This window comes from Homo sapiens, chromosome 19 (genome assembly GCF_000001405.40).
Source record: "Homo sapiens chromosome 19, GRCh38.p14 Primary Assembly".
Taxonomy (NCBI): domain Eukaryota; kingdom Metazoa; phylum Chordata; class Mammalia; order Primates; family Hominidae; genus Homo; species Homo sapiens.
The window spans coordinates 16,568,413-16,581,928 of NC_000019.10; the positions used below are offsets into that span (position 1 = coordinate 16,568,413).

General features: G+C 55.8%; 2 protein-coding genes and 1 long non-coding RNA gene across 4 annotated transcripts in view, besides 8 other annotated features; 1 reads left to right on the plus strand and 2 right to left on the minus strand.

Moving 5' to 3' along the window:
- SLC35E1 (solute carrier family 35 member E1) overlaps positions 1–4,003 on the minus strand; it is a 22,579-nt gene extending 18,576 nt beyond the window's left edge. Inside the window, exons 1-2 of the mRNA NM_024881.5 lie at positions 3,532–4,003; positions 3,100–3,170 (exon numbers count right to left, since the gene is read on the minus strand). Of these exons, the coding sequence (NP_079157.3) occupies positions 3,100–3,170; positions 3,532–3,952 (492 nt within the window). The 5' untranslated portion in view covers positions 3,953–4,003. The remainder of the gene's footprint in view (positions 1–3,099; positions 3,171–3,531) is intronic.
- Positions 1,128–1,628: an enhancer, noted in NCBI's record as "H3K27ac hESC enhancer chr19:16680351-16680851 (GRCh37/hg19 assembly coordinates)". NCBI's record gives its function as "activates a minimal SCP1, AML or CMV promoter by ChIP-STARR-seq in naive H9 embryonic stem cells {active_cell/tissue: H9 hESC(naive)}" and the evidence as "EXISTENCE:reporter gene assay evidence [ECO:0000049][PMID:30033119]".
- Positions 3,370–3,499: a silencer, noted in NCBI's record as "silent region_10305". NCBI's record gives its function as "represses an Ori minimal core promoter by ATAC-STARR-seq in GM12878 lymphoblastoid cells {active_cell/tissue: GM12878}" and the evidence as "EXISTENCE:reporter gene assay evidence [ECO:0000049][PMID:35858748]".
- Positions 3,660–3,769: a silencer, noted in NCBI's record as "silent region_10306". NCBI's record gives its function as "represses an Ori minimal core promoter by ATAC-STARR-seq in GM12878 lymphoblastoid cells {active_cell/tissue: GM12878}" and the evidence as "EXISTENCE:reporter gene assay evidence [ECO:0000049][PMID:35858748]".
- Positions 3,900–4,119: a silencer, noted in NCBI's record as "silent region_10307". NCBI's record gives its function as "represses an Ori minimal core promoter by ATAC-STARR-seq in GM12878 lymphoblastoid cells {active_cell/tissue: GM12878}" and the evidence as "EXISTENCE:reporter gene assay evidence [ECO:0000049][PMID:35858748]".
- Positions 3,900–4,912: a biological region, named in NCBI's record as "H3K27ac hESC enhancer GRCh37_chr19:16683261-16684135".
- Positions 4,038–4,912: an enhancer, noted in NCBI's record as "H3K27ac hESC enhancer chr19:16683261-16684135 (GRCh37/hg19 assembly coordinates)". NCBI's record gives its function as "activates a minimal SCP1, AML or CMV promoter by ChIP-STARR-seq in primed H9 embryonic stem cells {active_cell/tissue: H9 hESC(primed)}" and the evidence as "EXISTENCE:reporter gene assay evidence [ECO:0000049][PMID:30033119]".
- Positions 4,138–10,402, plus strand: LOC105372295 (uncharacterized). 2 transcript variants are annotated; one of them, XR_936359.3, is made up of 3 exons: positions 4,138–4,611; positions 9,754–9,861; positions 9,946–10,402. It is a non-coding gene; the product is annotated as an uncharacterized LOC105372295 (long non-coding RNA). The 2 variants fall into 2 exon arrangements; XR_936360.3 differs by having other exon boundaries at positions 4,138–4,396.
- Positions 4,220–4,309: an enhancer, noted in NCBI's record as "active region_14238". NCBI's record gives its function as "activates an Ori minimal core promoter by ATAC-STARR-seq in GM12878 lymphoblastoid cells {active_cell/tissue: GM12878}" and the evidence as "EXISTENCE:reporter gene assay evidence [ECO:0000049][PMID:35858748]".
- The window catches only part of MED26 (mediator complex subunit 26), a 53,286-nt gene continuing 46,276 nt past the window's right edge, over positions 6,507–13,516 (minus strand). The window contains exons 2-3 of the mRNA NM_004831.5: positions 9,923–9,997; positions 6,507–9,270 (exon numbers count right to left, since the gene is read on the minus strand). Coding sequence (NP_004822.2) covers positions 7,615–9,270; positions 9,923–9,997 — 1,731 coding nt within the window. The 3' untranslated portion in view covers positions 6,507–7,614. The remainder of the gene's footprint in view (positions 9,271–9,922; positions 9,998–13,516) is intronic.
- Positions 13,351–13,400: a silencer, noted in NCBI's record as "silent region_10308". NCBI's record gives its function as "represses an Ori minimal core promoter by ATAC-STARR-seq in GM12878 lymphoblastoid cells {active_cell/tissue: GM12878}" and the evidence as "EXISTENCE:reporter gene assay evidence [ECO:0000049][PMID:35858748]".

Sequence of the window (13,516 nt, forward strand, 5' to 3'; positions counted from 1 at the left end):
GCCTCTGCTCAGGGCCACAGCCCGGGGCTGGTCCTAACTCCACAGATCTGTTCAGCTGCCACTGACGCACCAGGGTTTGAAGCCCTGATCCTCTATAAGGCTCCCCCATTCCCTCTTTTTAAAAAATAGTTTTTTTGAGACAAAGTCTCGCTCTGTCGCCCAGGCTGGAGTGTAGTGGCACAATCGTGGCTCACTGCAACCTCTGCTTCCCGGGTTCAAGCGATTCTCCTGCCTCAGACTCCCCAGTAGCTGGGATTACAGGGATGTGCCACCACGCCCGGCCAATTTTTTTGTACTTTTAGTAGAGACAGGATTTCGCCATGTTAGCCAGGCTAGTCTTGAACGCCTGATCCACGTCATCCATCCACCTTGGCCTCCCAAAGTACTGGGATTACAGGTGTGAGCCACTGTGCCCAGCCCCCATTCCCTCTTACTTCAGGCTCTTCCAGTATGGTTACTCCTGGCTGGCACACTCCACTGATGCCTTCTCCTCCCAGTGACCTCCTGCCTCCACAAGGAGTGCTTTCTCCAACCCACCTCCACCTTGGGAGGCTCCTGTGCTGTGCTCCCAGGGCCACTGCCTGGACTTCCCCAGCAGAGAGCTCTCCACTCACTCTTTTTTTTTTTTTTTGAGACGGAGTCTCGCTCTGTCACCAGGATGGAATGCAGTGGCATGATCTCGGCTCACTGCAACCTCTGCCTCCCAGGTTCAACCGATTCTTCTGCCTCAGCTTTCTGAGTAGCTGGGACTACAGGTGCCTACCACCACGCCCAACTAATTTTTGTATTTTTAGTAAAGATGGGGTTTTGCCATGTTGGCCAGGATGGTCTCGATCTCTTGACCTCGTGATCTGCCCACCTTGGCCTCCCAAAGTGCTGGGATTACAAGCGTGGGCCACCGTGCCCAGCCTCTCCACCCACTCTGTCTGTTACATCATCCGGTCCCGTTAGTGTACCTTAGAGCAGGTCCTTGTTCACTGCTTTATCCTGGTGCCTAGCACTCAGTAGGCACTCAATAGCTGCTAGCTGAATGAACGAGTAGCAAACATAGTGACAGAGAGCCTTCTAGAAGGTCTGGCATGCAGGGCTAAACAACTCCCAACTTCCAGGATCCACCAGGATCCATTCCCGCGTGTCCAGCTCTTCTGACTCTCGGCTCAATCCTGTCCTACAAAGAACACTCTTCACTTTGGGAGGCTGAGGAGGGCAGATCACTTGAAGTCAGGAGTTTGAGACCAGCCTGGCCAACATGGTAAAACCCTGTCTGTATTGAAAATACAAAAATTAGCCAGGAGTGATGGAACGCGCCTGCAATCCCGGCTACTCGGGAGGCTGAGGCAAGAATCGCTTGAACCCAGGAGGCGGAGCTTGCAGTAAGCTGAGATCGCACCACGGCACTCCAATCTGGGCAACAGAGGGAGACTCCGTCTCAGAAAAACAAACACTCTTAAGGAGAGATAGGAGAGGTGGAGATTTTAGGAGGGAGTGGTCATGCCACAAGGAGGGCAGACCGAGGGCTGTGGACCTGAATTCCAGCTTCCCGAATATCAGGCTGTGGCCCTCAGGCACATGATTCTCCCCTCTCAGTCCATCTCAGGAAAACCTGAGATCAGGAATGATGACTACTGGCCTTATCTGCCTTGCAGGGCAGGTTCCTAGAAGTTATGATGTCATTATAATTAGTCTGGCTGCCTAACCGGGCCAATTCCCAGTCTTTCCTCACTGTGTGAAGTTCCGGCTCCTTGCCCAAGCTGGGTACAATGTCCCGTACAACGGGGAAACCTGATACACACGATGATATCCGGTGATGCAGCTACACACCTCAGGGACAACTCTGACTTCTCAGGAGCCAAGTCACAGCCTGACATCACCCTGGGGGAGCAGGGCTACAGAGCACACACAGGTCTTGCTGAGACAAAGACAGGCAGGAATAAAAAAAAATCAGCCATAGGTGGCCCAATTTCTATAAGCCGATCCAGGGCACTACCTCTCTGAGTTACATAAAATACAACATGCCAGAAACCAACCACTTGGAAAAGAGGCACGGTGTCCAGCATCAGCATGAAATGGATTCCGGCTGAGACAACAAGCGCCCAACTTCCACTTAAGAATACGGGATAAAGCTGTCTCCGGCTAAAGCCATGGCTATTCTTGCCCCAAGCCAGGAAATACCCTGGCTTGGCATCTTGAACAGAATTTGGACTGTGCCCAAAGCATCCTCCTTATGCAGCCCTGAGTCCTGTGTGCCACTTTCGCTTCCGTTCCCAGACCATCACAACTTCTGGCTGTTTTAATTTCTAAGACTTTGCTGGATTTTGCCAAGATCGAACTCCTTGGATCGCGTCTGGCTTCTGATCCCAGAGGTCCCCTGACAGAAATCTCTTGTCAAGAAGTGAAAACCTAGCCAAGTGCAGTGGCTGACGCCTGTAATACCAGCACTTTGGGAGGCTGAGGCGGACGGATCACTTGAGGTCAGGAGTTTGAGACCAGCCTGGCAACATGGTGAAACCCTGTCTCTATTAAAAATACAAAAAAATTAGCCAGGTGTGGTAGTGCACGTCTGTAGTCCCAACTACTTGAGAGGCTGAGGCAGGAGAACTGCTTGAACCTGGGAGGCGGAGGTTGCAGTGAGCTGAGATTGTGTCACTGGACTTCAGGCTGGGCAAGAGTAAAACTCCGTCTCAAAAAAAAAAAAAAAAAAGTGAACACCTAACCGACAGCGTTCTGATCCATCCATCCCTAGTCCCACTGGAAAGGCCACACATGGGGTGTATGGCCAAGATGTGACCAACCCATCACCTACCAGCAAACCCAGGTAGGGAATCAAAACGGGGAGGAAAATTGGATCTGAAAGGGACAACAGTGTTCCTAAGACCACACAGCAGAGATCACAGAGGGACACATACTCCACACACCACTGCTCACAGGGTGATTCTAGAACTTGAGTAGTAAAAGGCCACTGGAGACCTCTACACTGACTTCCCTATTTGACGGGAAGCCAGGCAGCCTGCAGACCAGGATCCTGACCACGTCACCAGTTGGCAACAGGGAGGAACCCCCTGGAGCTCCCATCTGCCCAGAGTCCCTGCCCGGGGTTACCTTGGTGCTCTGCTTCTCCTTCATAATGATCCGGGACAGGAGGACCACCCAGATGGGCATGGTGGCCTTGACTGCAAAGAGAGGGATGGGCACTCAGGGGGCTGCCTGAATTTCAGGGCCCAACCTGTTCCACCTCCACGGCGGGATGGGAGGGCCTGGCAGCCCCTCACACCTCTTCGCCCCTTCTCTTTCGGTAGGGCTTCCTCCTGCCACGGCTGTTGTGGTCTGTCCTGCTTACCTCTCAGCTCTCTTCTCAGCTCCTCTTCTCCCTGAGAACCCCGTGCGTGTCCCTCCCCTACCAAACCCTTGGCAGCCCCTCTGCTGACTTCTCAGTCCGGCGGGACGCGCCCCGGGCGGCGCACTCCTATCCATGCGCCCAAACCCGAAGCGGCGGGCCCGGCCGCCGCCCCCGAGGCCGGGCGCGGAACCTACCGGTGTGTGCATAGGACACGGGCACCTTCCAGATGCTGACGTGCGCTGACACGGACGCGAAGTACTTGCCGAAGGCGAGCGGTAGCACGTAGCGCGGGTAGAAGCGCGGCGGCAGCAGCGGGCCGGACGACGGATGCGGACTGGGTCCGGGGCCCGAGACGGGCGGCGCGGGGGGCACGCGCCAGGCGCGCAGCAGCGGCGGGAGCCCAGCGCACAGAGCCAGGATGTGGCACAGCGACACGGTCACCGGGAACGGGAAGGCGCTCAGGATCACCTTGTTGACCACGTTGCCGCCCGCGCTCAGCGCGTACCACAGCAGGCACAGCGCCGCCACCCGCGCGCCCTCGCGCGCCCCACCACTGCTGCTCGCTGCGCCCGGGCCCCCCGCGCCGTGGCCCGCGCCCACCGCGGCCGCCGCCATCCTGCCCGAGCGGCCGCCCCTTCCAGCCCGTCCGACGGCCCGACGCCGGGCGGGGGCGGGGCTGGGCGGGGGGGCAGGCGCCCCGGTCTACGCCGTTTCCCATTGGTCGCTGCCTCCTCGCGTCATCCCTCCGCGCCGGCCGACGCGCCAGCCACCACGTCTCGAGTGCAGGCCCAGTCCACTGTAGATGCGCTTCCGGCGGAGCCGAGGCCGGAAGCGGAAGAAGGGGACACAGACCTGCGTCCAAGCTGTGCCACCTGAGACGTGGGCGGTCCCAGTGACCGGGAGCCGGAGCTCGAACGGGACGGGCGAACAGAAGCGCGGAGGGCTTCGCAGCGTCGGCGTCTGTGCGTGGGCCAAACATCAGGGCCTCGACCAGGGATACAAGGGCAACCGCTAACTAGATTCCTGATTCCTGATGGCTGGCGGCGGCTGACACCAAAGGTAAAAGGCCTTTTAGGGAAAGAAACCATTTGTGAAAAGCTCTTGGGCTAAACTCGCTCTGCAAACTGGGGGCGCACGCTCGTGGCCAAACTCTGGCAGTGGGACTATCCCGGAGCACCCGATCCCTGGAATCATGTTCTGGAAACCACCGCGACGTGCGCAGTTCTCGGGCGTGGCCCTGGTATCATCCCACTGAATCCTAGGAACGCGGTGCGGTAGGTATCACTGTCCGCATTTCACAGACCGAAGTCCAGAATGGGGAAGCGACTTGTCTTAGGCTTCCTGGCCACACTGGGGACCGTGGTCATGGTAGCGTCCTTGGACACCTGTCTCCAAGGCTCTGCAGAAGGGGGAGGTGCCGGGCCCTGACGGCTGATGTCCAAGGACCAGCCGGGATGGACCAGCCCCAGGAGGCCCCAGTGGAGGAAAACAGGACGAGGTTTTCAGTAAGATGATCTTATACTAATTCAAGGGCTATAATTTGTTCTCCACATCGTGTGCCTCCAACTTTTTCGGGGAAAGGGTGTTAAAATTCCGTTACAGTGTTTTTACTTGTCAAATTAGAAGCAGCAACCGGCTGGGTGCAGTGAGTCAAGCTTGGAATCCCAGCACTTTGGGAGGCCAAGGTGGGCGGATTGCTTGAGCTCAGGAGTTGGAGATCGTGGCATCGATAACATGGCAGAACCTCATCTTTGCAAAAAATACAAAAATTAGCCAGGCGTGGTGGCGCACGCCTGTGGTACCCACTACTAGGGAGACTGAGGTGGGTGGATCGGCTTGAGCCCAGGTCAAGGTTCCAGTGAGCTATGATGGCGCCACTGCACTGCAGCCTGGGTGACAGAGCGAGACCCAGTCTCAAAGAAAAGTAGAAAGCAGCAACCCAACTTGGCTCCCCAAATGTTGGAAGGTATCTTAGCTTATCCTTGCATTCTCAAAGGCCCTAGGCCCTTCTGGATACATGGACACAGGCATGGTAGTCCCTGCAGGCAGGGGTAGTGGGGAGCTGCAACCTATCCCAAAACTCTAGAGATGCTGATAGGAGGCCAAGCTCTGCACCCTAATATCCTCCAGCTGTACCCTCTGTGGATCAGAGTAAAGTCACATCCTTGGGACACCATGTCTCAGCAGAGCTGTTAAACATAGGCACAGTGAAATTAGGAAAGTATAACTATAGGCACCCTACAGCACAGCTGAGTGTCAGATACTTCCACTGACACACTGACATGCTTTGTGTTTTAGTTCTCACAACTCTGGGGTATTCTCACCCCCCAAATGGGGACATGTGCACAGGAGTGAAGAGATGAGCTCAGAGCCACACAGCTGGTGGGTGGTAGGCCTGGGTTCAACCTCATCCTGCCTTCAAAGCCACTTTGCCCATGGCCTTTTGTTGGGGAGGGGAGTGTGTTCTGCACCAAGCTTTTGCCAGGAATCCCTGCTAGCTCTCAAACTGGCTCTGGACTGACTGTAGTCTTACAGGCTGGAAGGAACCTTTGGTTTGCCCTGTGAGACTGCATGTCTTAAGGTGTAGCTGTTTCTTCATTTGTGAAATTAAGCAGATATGGGTAAGATGACCTATTCCAAAGTGAAAAACTGGAAAACCAAAGTCTTAGCCTACAGTTTCAGGGACGAGGGGGAACTAAAAGATGAGCACTTTATAGTCAAGGGAGAAAAATTTTTTTGGAGTCAGCACCAACCAGCTAATAAGGCAGCTGGGGGCCAGGGCCATGGGGTGGCCTTTCAGACACACACACACAGCTCTGAGCCTCTGGGCCATACCTTGTAAGAACTAGGTATTTTGTTGAGGTGGGGGTAGTCACTGAGACCTGTGCTATGGGAGCCTCCTACAGAGGGCTGCTCTCTAGGCCAGGTAAAGTCTGGGTGAGACAAGAAAACATTCCTTAATGTGGCCCTGAATGAATAAAATGTGGAGGTCCTCCCAAATGCAGCAGCAGGCTAACAGGTGGACTGCAAGGCTGTGCCCTGCCCTGTCTCCCTGCATTGCAGCTGTTGGGGTCTGGGTGTTCCTGGCTAATAATCCACAATCCAGGAAAGGGCTGATTTGGTTGTGAAGGTCCAAATGAGAAAAGATTCTCAGACTGGTTTGTGCAAATGGTTTTTTTTTTTTTTTTATTTCCACATTTATATCACAAGGTGTCCACTTACTGGACCAAATAGCAAAGTTGCTCCCTTCTGCGTCCTGAGAACACAGAAGTCTAGGTACTGTACATTCACTAAGGCTCCTTGTTTTTGCAAATCGCGTTTATGACAAATAACCATAAGGCAAACGAATCTAAAGGAATGGTTATGAGTGTTTCCAGCGTACAGACAGGTCTTCCCCCTCGCCCCACAGTACAGCATAAAACCAGTAGCACCCACAATAACTTTTGTGTTGTTTTGGGGGGACTCTAGAAAGGTGAAGTTTTCTAGATGTGTACAGGAAGGGAAAAAAGAAAAGGGAGGAAGAAAGGAAAGGTTTTTTTGTCTGGTGGTCTGATGGAAGAGGAATTGTTTAAAATAAACATGAGAAAACTTAAATTTTTGCAGCATTTCTTTAAAAACTGGGTTATAACTGAAACCAGATATAAACAGGTGGCTGCCCATGGAGTGTGGGTCACACTGGCTGGCCAGCTGGCCCGCCTGCCCAATGCCAGTGGCTCACCACAGCTGAGAAGCTTCTGGCACATGACAGACAACACTGGCCTGACAGTGGCTGGGTAGGGAGCAAACAGAGGCAGTGGCATGGCCCACTGTCTCAAGACACTCAGGGCCAAATTAAAGAACAGAAAATGCAAGAGAGATGAGATGCGTGCTTCTGTTGCTGTGTTAAAGGTGACCTCTCCCACAGGTTTTCTGTGCCTGCCTGCAACTGAGGCCCCAGCTTTCAGGTGCTGGAAAGTGTCCGCACCTCTTTGGGGGTGAGGGACTAACGCTTTTTATAGCTGGTTTGCTATAGAGTTCTGAACTCACTTTGCCGTCCTTCCTTCCACGCGGTCCTTCTTCGCAATTTTGTTAGTAAACTGGTAGCAGCATTTCACAAAAAGAGTTTTGAGGGAAGAGCGCAGAGAGACCGCGTGACTCCCGCCCCCTCCCTCCCGCCTGGGCCGGACTCCCCGAGTTCCCAGCGCAGGAGGCAGCTGGGCCCCGGCCACCTGCCCACCTGCCTGCCCGCCCACCCGGCTTCTGCAAGATGGGAATGCACTTTGTGGCTGACAGGCCGGTCAGTCCAAGCAGACATAAGGCAGAATGTTCAAGCGCCCGTCGTCGCCGTGCGGATCGAGCGATATGCACTGCGTCCAGTCATACCAGTTACCCTGTGTGTCCTGACACCCGTTCACCCCCGGCCACTGGCTGGCCTGGATTCTGTCGAGATCGTCCTGTGTGACCTCCCGGGTCAGACCAGGGAGGTCCGTGGGCGGGCTTTGAGGCACCAGCACATGCAGCTGCCTGGCCCCTTGCCGGGTGCTCTCCTCCTGCTTCAGGTACTCAGACATGAAGTGGTGAGCCCCTGGGGTCTGCGCGCCCGATGATGAGAGCAGGCTGCTCTGCCGGCTCAGGTAGGACTGGATGATCTCGTTGCGTGACAGCTCCTTCCAGTTCGTCTGTTCGAAGGGGCTCTGGAGGCTGGCCTTGGCCTCCTGCTTGTCCAGCTCTGTCCTGGACTGCTGCTCCATGTGCACAGGGCTGTCTGCCCGCACTGGCTCTTTCTGGGTCAGAGGTTTGATCTGTCTCGTCATGGGGTCAAAGGTGAGCTTCCGCTCTTTTAACCGGACAGGCTTGACGCCCGCCTCAGCCACCTGCCCGTCCAAGTTAACCGTATAGTCTCGAGGTCGGTACCTCTTCTTCTTTTTACTGTCCGAGCCCCCTGAGGAGGCAGCATCACTGTCCGCCTTGGAGGAGTCTGGGGAAAAGCCTGCCCGGGACAGGAGGGGCTCGGCTGGGGACAGCCCTGCCTTGCAGCCCGGCCCCGCCAGCCGCTGGTGGCTCTCAGGCTGCTCAAGCCAGCACACTGGGCTTTCCGCACTGGGCAGCAGCTCGAGCCGCCGTACGGGGGGTGTGGACGGCTGTGCCAGTGGAAGCGGTGACGGCACCTGTGTGGCATCGAGTGCCTGGGGCCGCGGTGAGGGGCTGGGCACGGAGCCCTTGGGTGCATACAAGCTCTGCTGCCGGGCAAAGGAGCCCTCATGCCGTGAGTTCCGAGGACTGAAAGAGCAGCGAGGGGGTCCCTTGGGATGGGGAGGCCCCGGAGTCTCGTCCACCCTGTCCAGCTGCTGCAGCACCGAAGCCTTTGGCTGCAAGCAGGGTCCAGGGGGCTTGCCCAGGCCCGGGGAGCTGGTGTGCGGTCGCACGGCGTTGACGGGGATCTTGCCACTGTGCTTGTCATTCTCGTCACGCTCCAGGCGGCTGCCCTCTGGGCCTGCATGCCCACTGCCATCCAGGGAGCTGGCGAAGCTCTCTGGACTCCCACTGATCCCGTTGGTGGGGAGGGGGGATGAGTTGGGGACCAGGGGGTCGTGGCTAGCTTTGGAGACCTTGGGTGGCGGCCCTGGGTGGCCGAGGTCACGCTGGTCACCCCGGCGCTTGCGGCTGCCCAGCCTGTCCAGCCGCTGCCCGGGCAGCCTCTGGAGGTCATTGCGGCTCTTCAGGTCATGGATGCTCCTGGGTGGGCCAGCCGCCCCCACCTCCGGCCGGCAGTTGTGTGCGCCCCCGTTGGCAGAGCCGGTGGCCCCCGCCAGCCCCCGCAGCGCCGCCTCATGCTGGTGTGCCGGCTCGATGAGCTTCTGCCAGCTCCGCAGCAGCTTCTTGGCCCGCTTGGCGAGCTCCTCGTTCTTGGTTTTCTTGCGGACGTCGTTGATGAGCTTCCCAAGTCGTGTTTCCTACAACCAGAGGGAGATGATGACATACTTTCGGGACAGGAACTTCTCCATGAGCTGAGCCAGAAATGGTGGGAAGTGGCCCTGACAGTGAAATGACCCGGTTCCCACTGAGCCCTAAACTGCCAGCTTCCCTGACACAAAACTTCTGGGGATTTCCGGTCCTTTGTGACAATATAAATTCTCAAACCTAGTTCCCAGACCTTCAGGGTCCCAGGTGGCTTCTCAGCAGTGCTGTCACCCAGGCTCCTGGTGTCAGGGGGCTGTGGACCATCAAGGCCACTGTAAGGACACTGCCAGAGAGGCTTCCTGGGTGAGAGGGTGCTGTGGCCGAGGCGACAGCACAGAGGGTCCGCTTCAAGTGGAGGGTTGGGGATGGTGCCTCTCACTGGAGCCTCCTCCAAGCACACCTCTCCTGATGTCCCCACGTGCCCACGAAGTGTGCTGGGCATGTAGGATGGGAGTAACACCACTTGGTCTCTGCAGTGCCCGTGGGAGAGCAAGATCGCGAGGCACGAGCTGTGAGGGCACACCGCCTCTCTTGGTCCTCCGAAGCAAAGACACTGATGCTCCCAGAAGCTGCGGAAGGACCTGGTTGGTACCATCCCCTGCCCCCCGTTCTGCCCTCCCAAATGCTGGGGTCTGGGATACTCACCTCAAGTGCCTCTTTGGTAATAGGGTATTTCTCCAGGCTGGAGATGACTTCCAGCACCGCCACCATGTTCCGGATCTGTGGAAATAAAAAGCCATTTGTCAGGTCCCTGTCCTTCTCCACTGGGAGGCTGGAACACCCTGCCCCAGCCTGCTCCAGTCTCTCCCCAACCCCAGAGCAAGAGGAGCCAGCAGCACTGAAGCCCCCACTCCATGTCGTCTCCTACCTGCTCCCTGGGCCAACCTGGCACCCAGTGCTCATCCTCACCTGCCGTCTGACCTCCTCCAGTGTGTGGTGTGCGGGCTGCCCCAAGCCCTCCAGTGTACATGGTACATACCCACCCACCTGCTGAAACCCAGGATGCCTGTGGAACAAGAGCTGCTCCTGATACTTAAGATGACCTCTACTCTGCCATCTGATGGGAGTGGGAGAGGAGACACGGAAGAATTCATCGAATAAAATCCACAAAGCTTAAAAGATCAATACACAGGCCAGGCGCGGTGGCTGACACCTGTAATCCCAGCACTTTGGGAGGCTGACGAAGGCGGATCAGAAGGTCAGGAGTTTGAGACCAGCCTGGCCAACACAGTGAAACCCCATCTCTATTAAAAATACAAAAATTAGTTGGGTGTGCTGGCATGCGCCTGTAGTTCCAGCTACTTGGGAGGCTGAGGCACGAGAACCACTTGAACCCGGGAGGCGGAGGGTGTAGTGAGCTGAGACCACACCACTGCACTCCAGCCTGGGTGACAGAGCAAGACTCCGTGTAAAAAATAATAATAATAATAATAATGATAAACCAGTCAATCTGAATCCAAAGACACCATAAAGAGAGCAGAAAGTCACAAAGTGGGAGAAGGCATAGGCCACAGGCCCCCAAGGAGCTGTATCTGGAACACAGAATGCCTGTACAGCAGTACAGCTGACCAGGAGCCCGGCGTAGACTGGCCACAAGACAGGAACAGGCACACGGCAATGAAATGTCAGTGCTGATGCTCAGCCTCTCAGCTTTATCGATAATCAGGAAAACTCAAACTGAACCCACAAATGGATACATGATACACGTGCCCCACTGACAACACTAGGTACTTCGGGGGATACAGCTGACTTTGGGGACTGCTGGGCTTTGTCTGGCAGAGTGAAGCATGAACACATCCCATGACCAAGTAATCCCTCCCTTTTAGGATCTTGCTAGGAGCCACACCTTGTTCTAAGCACTTCCCACACATTACTGACTCCCTTAATTGTTACAACAAGAATTCCTACCACTCAACCACCACCTCCAGCAACTACAGGTTTCTGGTGGGCTGGCTAGCGGGTGGGAGCCCAGGGGCCCTGAGGAAACCACAGTGAGTAGATTACTCAACTCCCCCCCACCCCAACATGATAAAGGAGTTAAGCGGGCACATGATACAAATTAAAACAGCATAAAAGGGCACACAAGGAAATGGGCATCTCTGACCCAGCCACTGTAGCATTTCCTTGCATTTTTTTCCAAAAATATCCCTTGTGTATATAGGCGTATACATCCACACTTATCACATATTTCAAAACCAAACTGACAGTGGTTCTTGCCTTTTCTGACTTAATGTCAGCAATGTCCAGCCTCAAACAGAGCCCCTCATTTGGCTCACCATCCCTTCCAGAGTGGGGAAGGCCCGACTTGAATGCTGTGGGACACTTAGGCACTTTCCGTCCGCCATTACAAAATAAGGCTGCAACCGACGGCAGTGACAGACCTGACTCTGAGCTAGTGCACAGACAGCCATGGAGGAGCTGGGGCTCCACATCCATGCAGGGTGGTCACCTCACCCCCAGGGAGGCTGCTCTATTCCATTCCCACCAGGCCACATCCTTGCCAAGACTGCGTGGCAAGAGTTTCCGTAACACATGATTGTAAACTTAGCATCTTACACAGCACACATTTATCATCTTAGGCTCTAGGGCTCAGAAATCAGGTCTGAGTCTCACTGGGCTGGGATCCTCTCTAGAGGATCCATTTCCTGCTCCTTCAGGTGTTAGCAGAGTTCAGCTCTTATTTTGTTTTTTTTTTTGAGATGAAGTTTCACTCTTGTCGCCCAGGCTGGAGTGCAATGGCACGATCTCGGCTCACTGCAACCTCCGTCTCCTGGGTTCAAGCAATTCTCCTGCCTCAGCCTCCCGAGTAGCTGAGATTATAGGCACCCGCCACCACGCCCAGCTAATTTTTGTATTTTTTTTTAGTAGGGACAGGGTTTCACCATGTTGAAGGCTGGTCTTGAACTCCTGACCTCAGGTGATCTGCCCTCCTCGGCCTCCCAAAGTGCTGGGATTACAAGCGTGAGCCACTGCACCCGGCCCAGAGTTCAGCTCTTTACACTACAGGAATGAGGCCCATTTTCTTGCTGGTTGTCATCCGAAGCCATTCCCAGCTTCTGGAGGGCACTGCATCCAGCTCACACCCCCTCCCCTTATGCTCAAAGCCAGCTACAGGCTGAGTCCTCACCCGGCATCTCTCTGACCCAGCCAGGATAGGTGCCATCTCTAAGGACTCCCTGACTAGGCAGGGCCTGCCCAGATGATCTCGGATCACCTCCCCATCTCCAGGCTGTTCCCTTAGTCACATCTGTCATGTACGGTACCATGTGCCCAGGCTCCAGGACTAGAATGTGGACGTCCTTGAGGGCTGTTAATTCTGCTGGCCTCATGGATTCTGGCTTTTCTACTCTTCTGCCCCACTTCCAGTGGGAGGCAGCCACTGCCACTCCCTCCCTTCCCGTGTTGTCTCCTCTGGGTGTAAAGTTGCAGAGCCACGACAGCAGTCCCCGCAGAACTCCCACAAAGCTGCCCTGCCAATGGGCCCATTTGCTCTTTGGCAACAACGGCCTTGCCTTGCAATGTTCTCCATTCAGGGCTCCAAATGACCCTGAAAACCCTGCTTCAAGCTGTGTCATGGTGGGGGTGGACGGGTGATATGAGGGGAGATACAGTCCTGTCCGCACTCCTCGTGCAATGGGCAGGGATCAGTGCAGGGGAAGACTGTGCGATGAGGAGGCCAGTCCCAGACAGACAGCAAGGCCAACCACTCCCTGCCCCAGGCACTCCAGCACCGACTCAGTCCCTGGGCTTGCCACATGGCTTCACCTCCACCCTGCTGACCTCACCCTGGTATATTTGGAGCCCTGGTTCCCCACATACTCCTGAAGCAGCAGTCCTTGCAGAGCAGAACACTGCCCAGACCCAGCTAGCCTGGTGGCACAAAGTGTCCTTGTCCTTGGGCAGACACCATCCTGCTGCCAGACAAGAGGGAGGAGACAGAACACCTGGGCAACCCCAGGGTCTGGTACTGAGCTGGTGCCCCAGAAATCACCGCTGAACTAACAGCCAGTCCCAAGAGTCTCCTGGAAACTGTGTGGGAGCTGGGGACACCAGGCGAAGGTGTGAGGGCCCTGTGACTGTGTATCCTTACCCTTGGCCCCTCCCCTGCCTTATGAGCCACGCTTAAGCGTGTGCAGAGAGGCCTTCAGCCTCTAGGAGCCCCAAGGGAAATGCTACAGCCTTGGCAGTCCCCTTTCTGTCCCCACCGTGTGAGCTGCTCACCTGAGGAGTAGAGGAGCC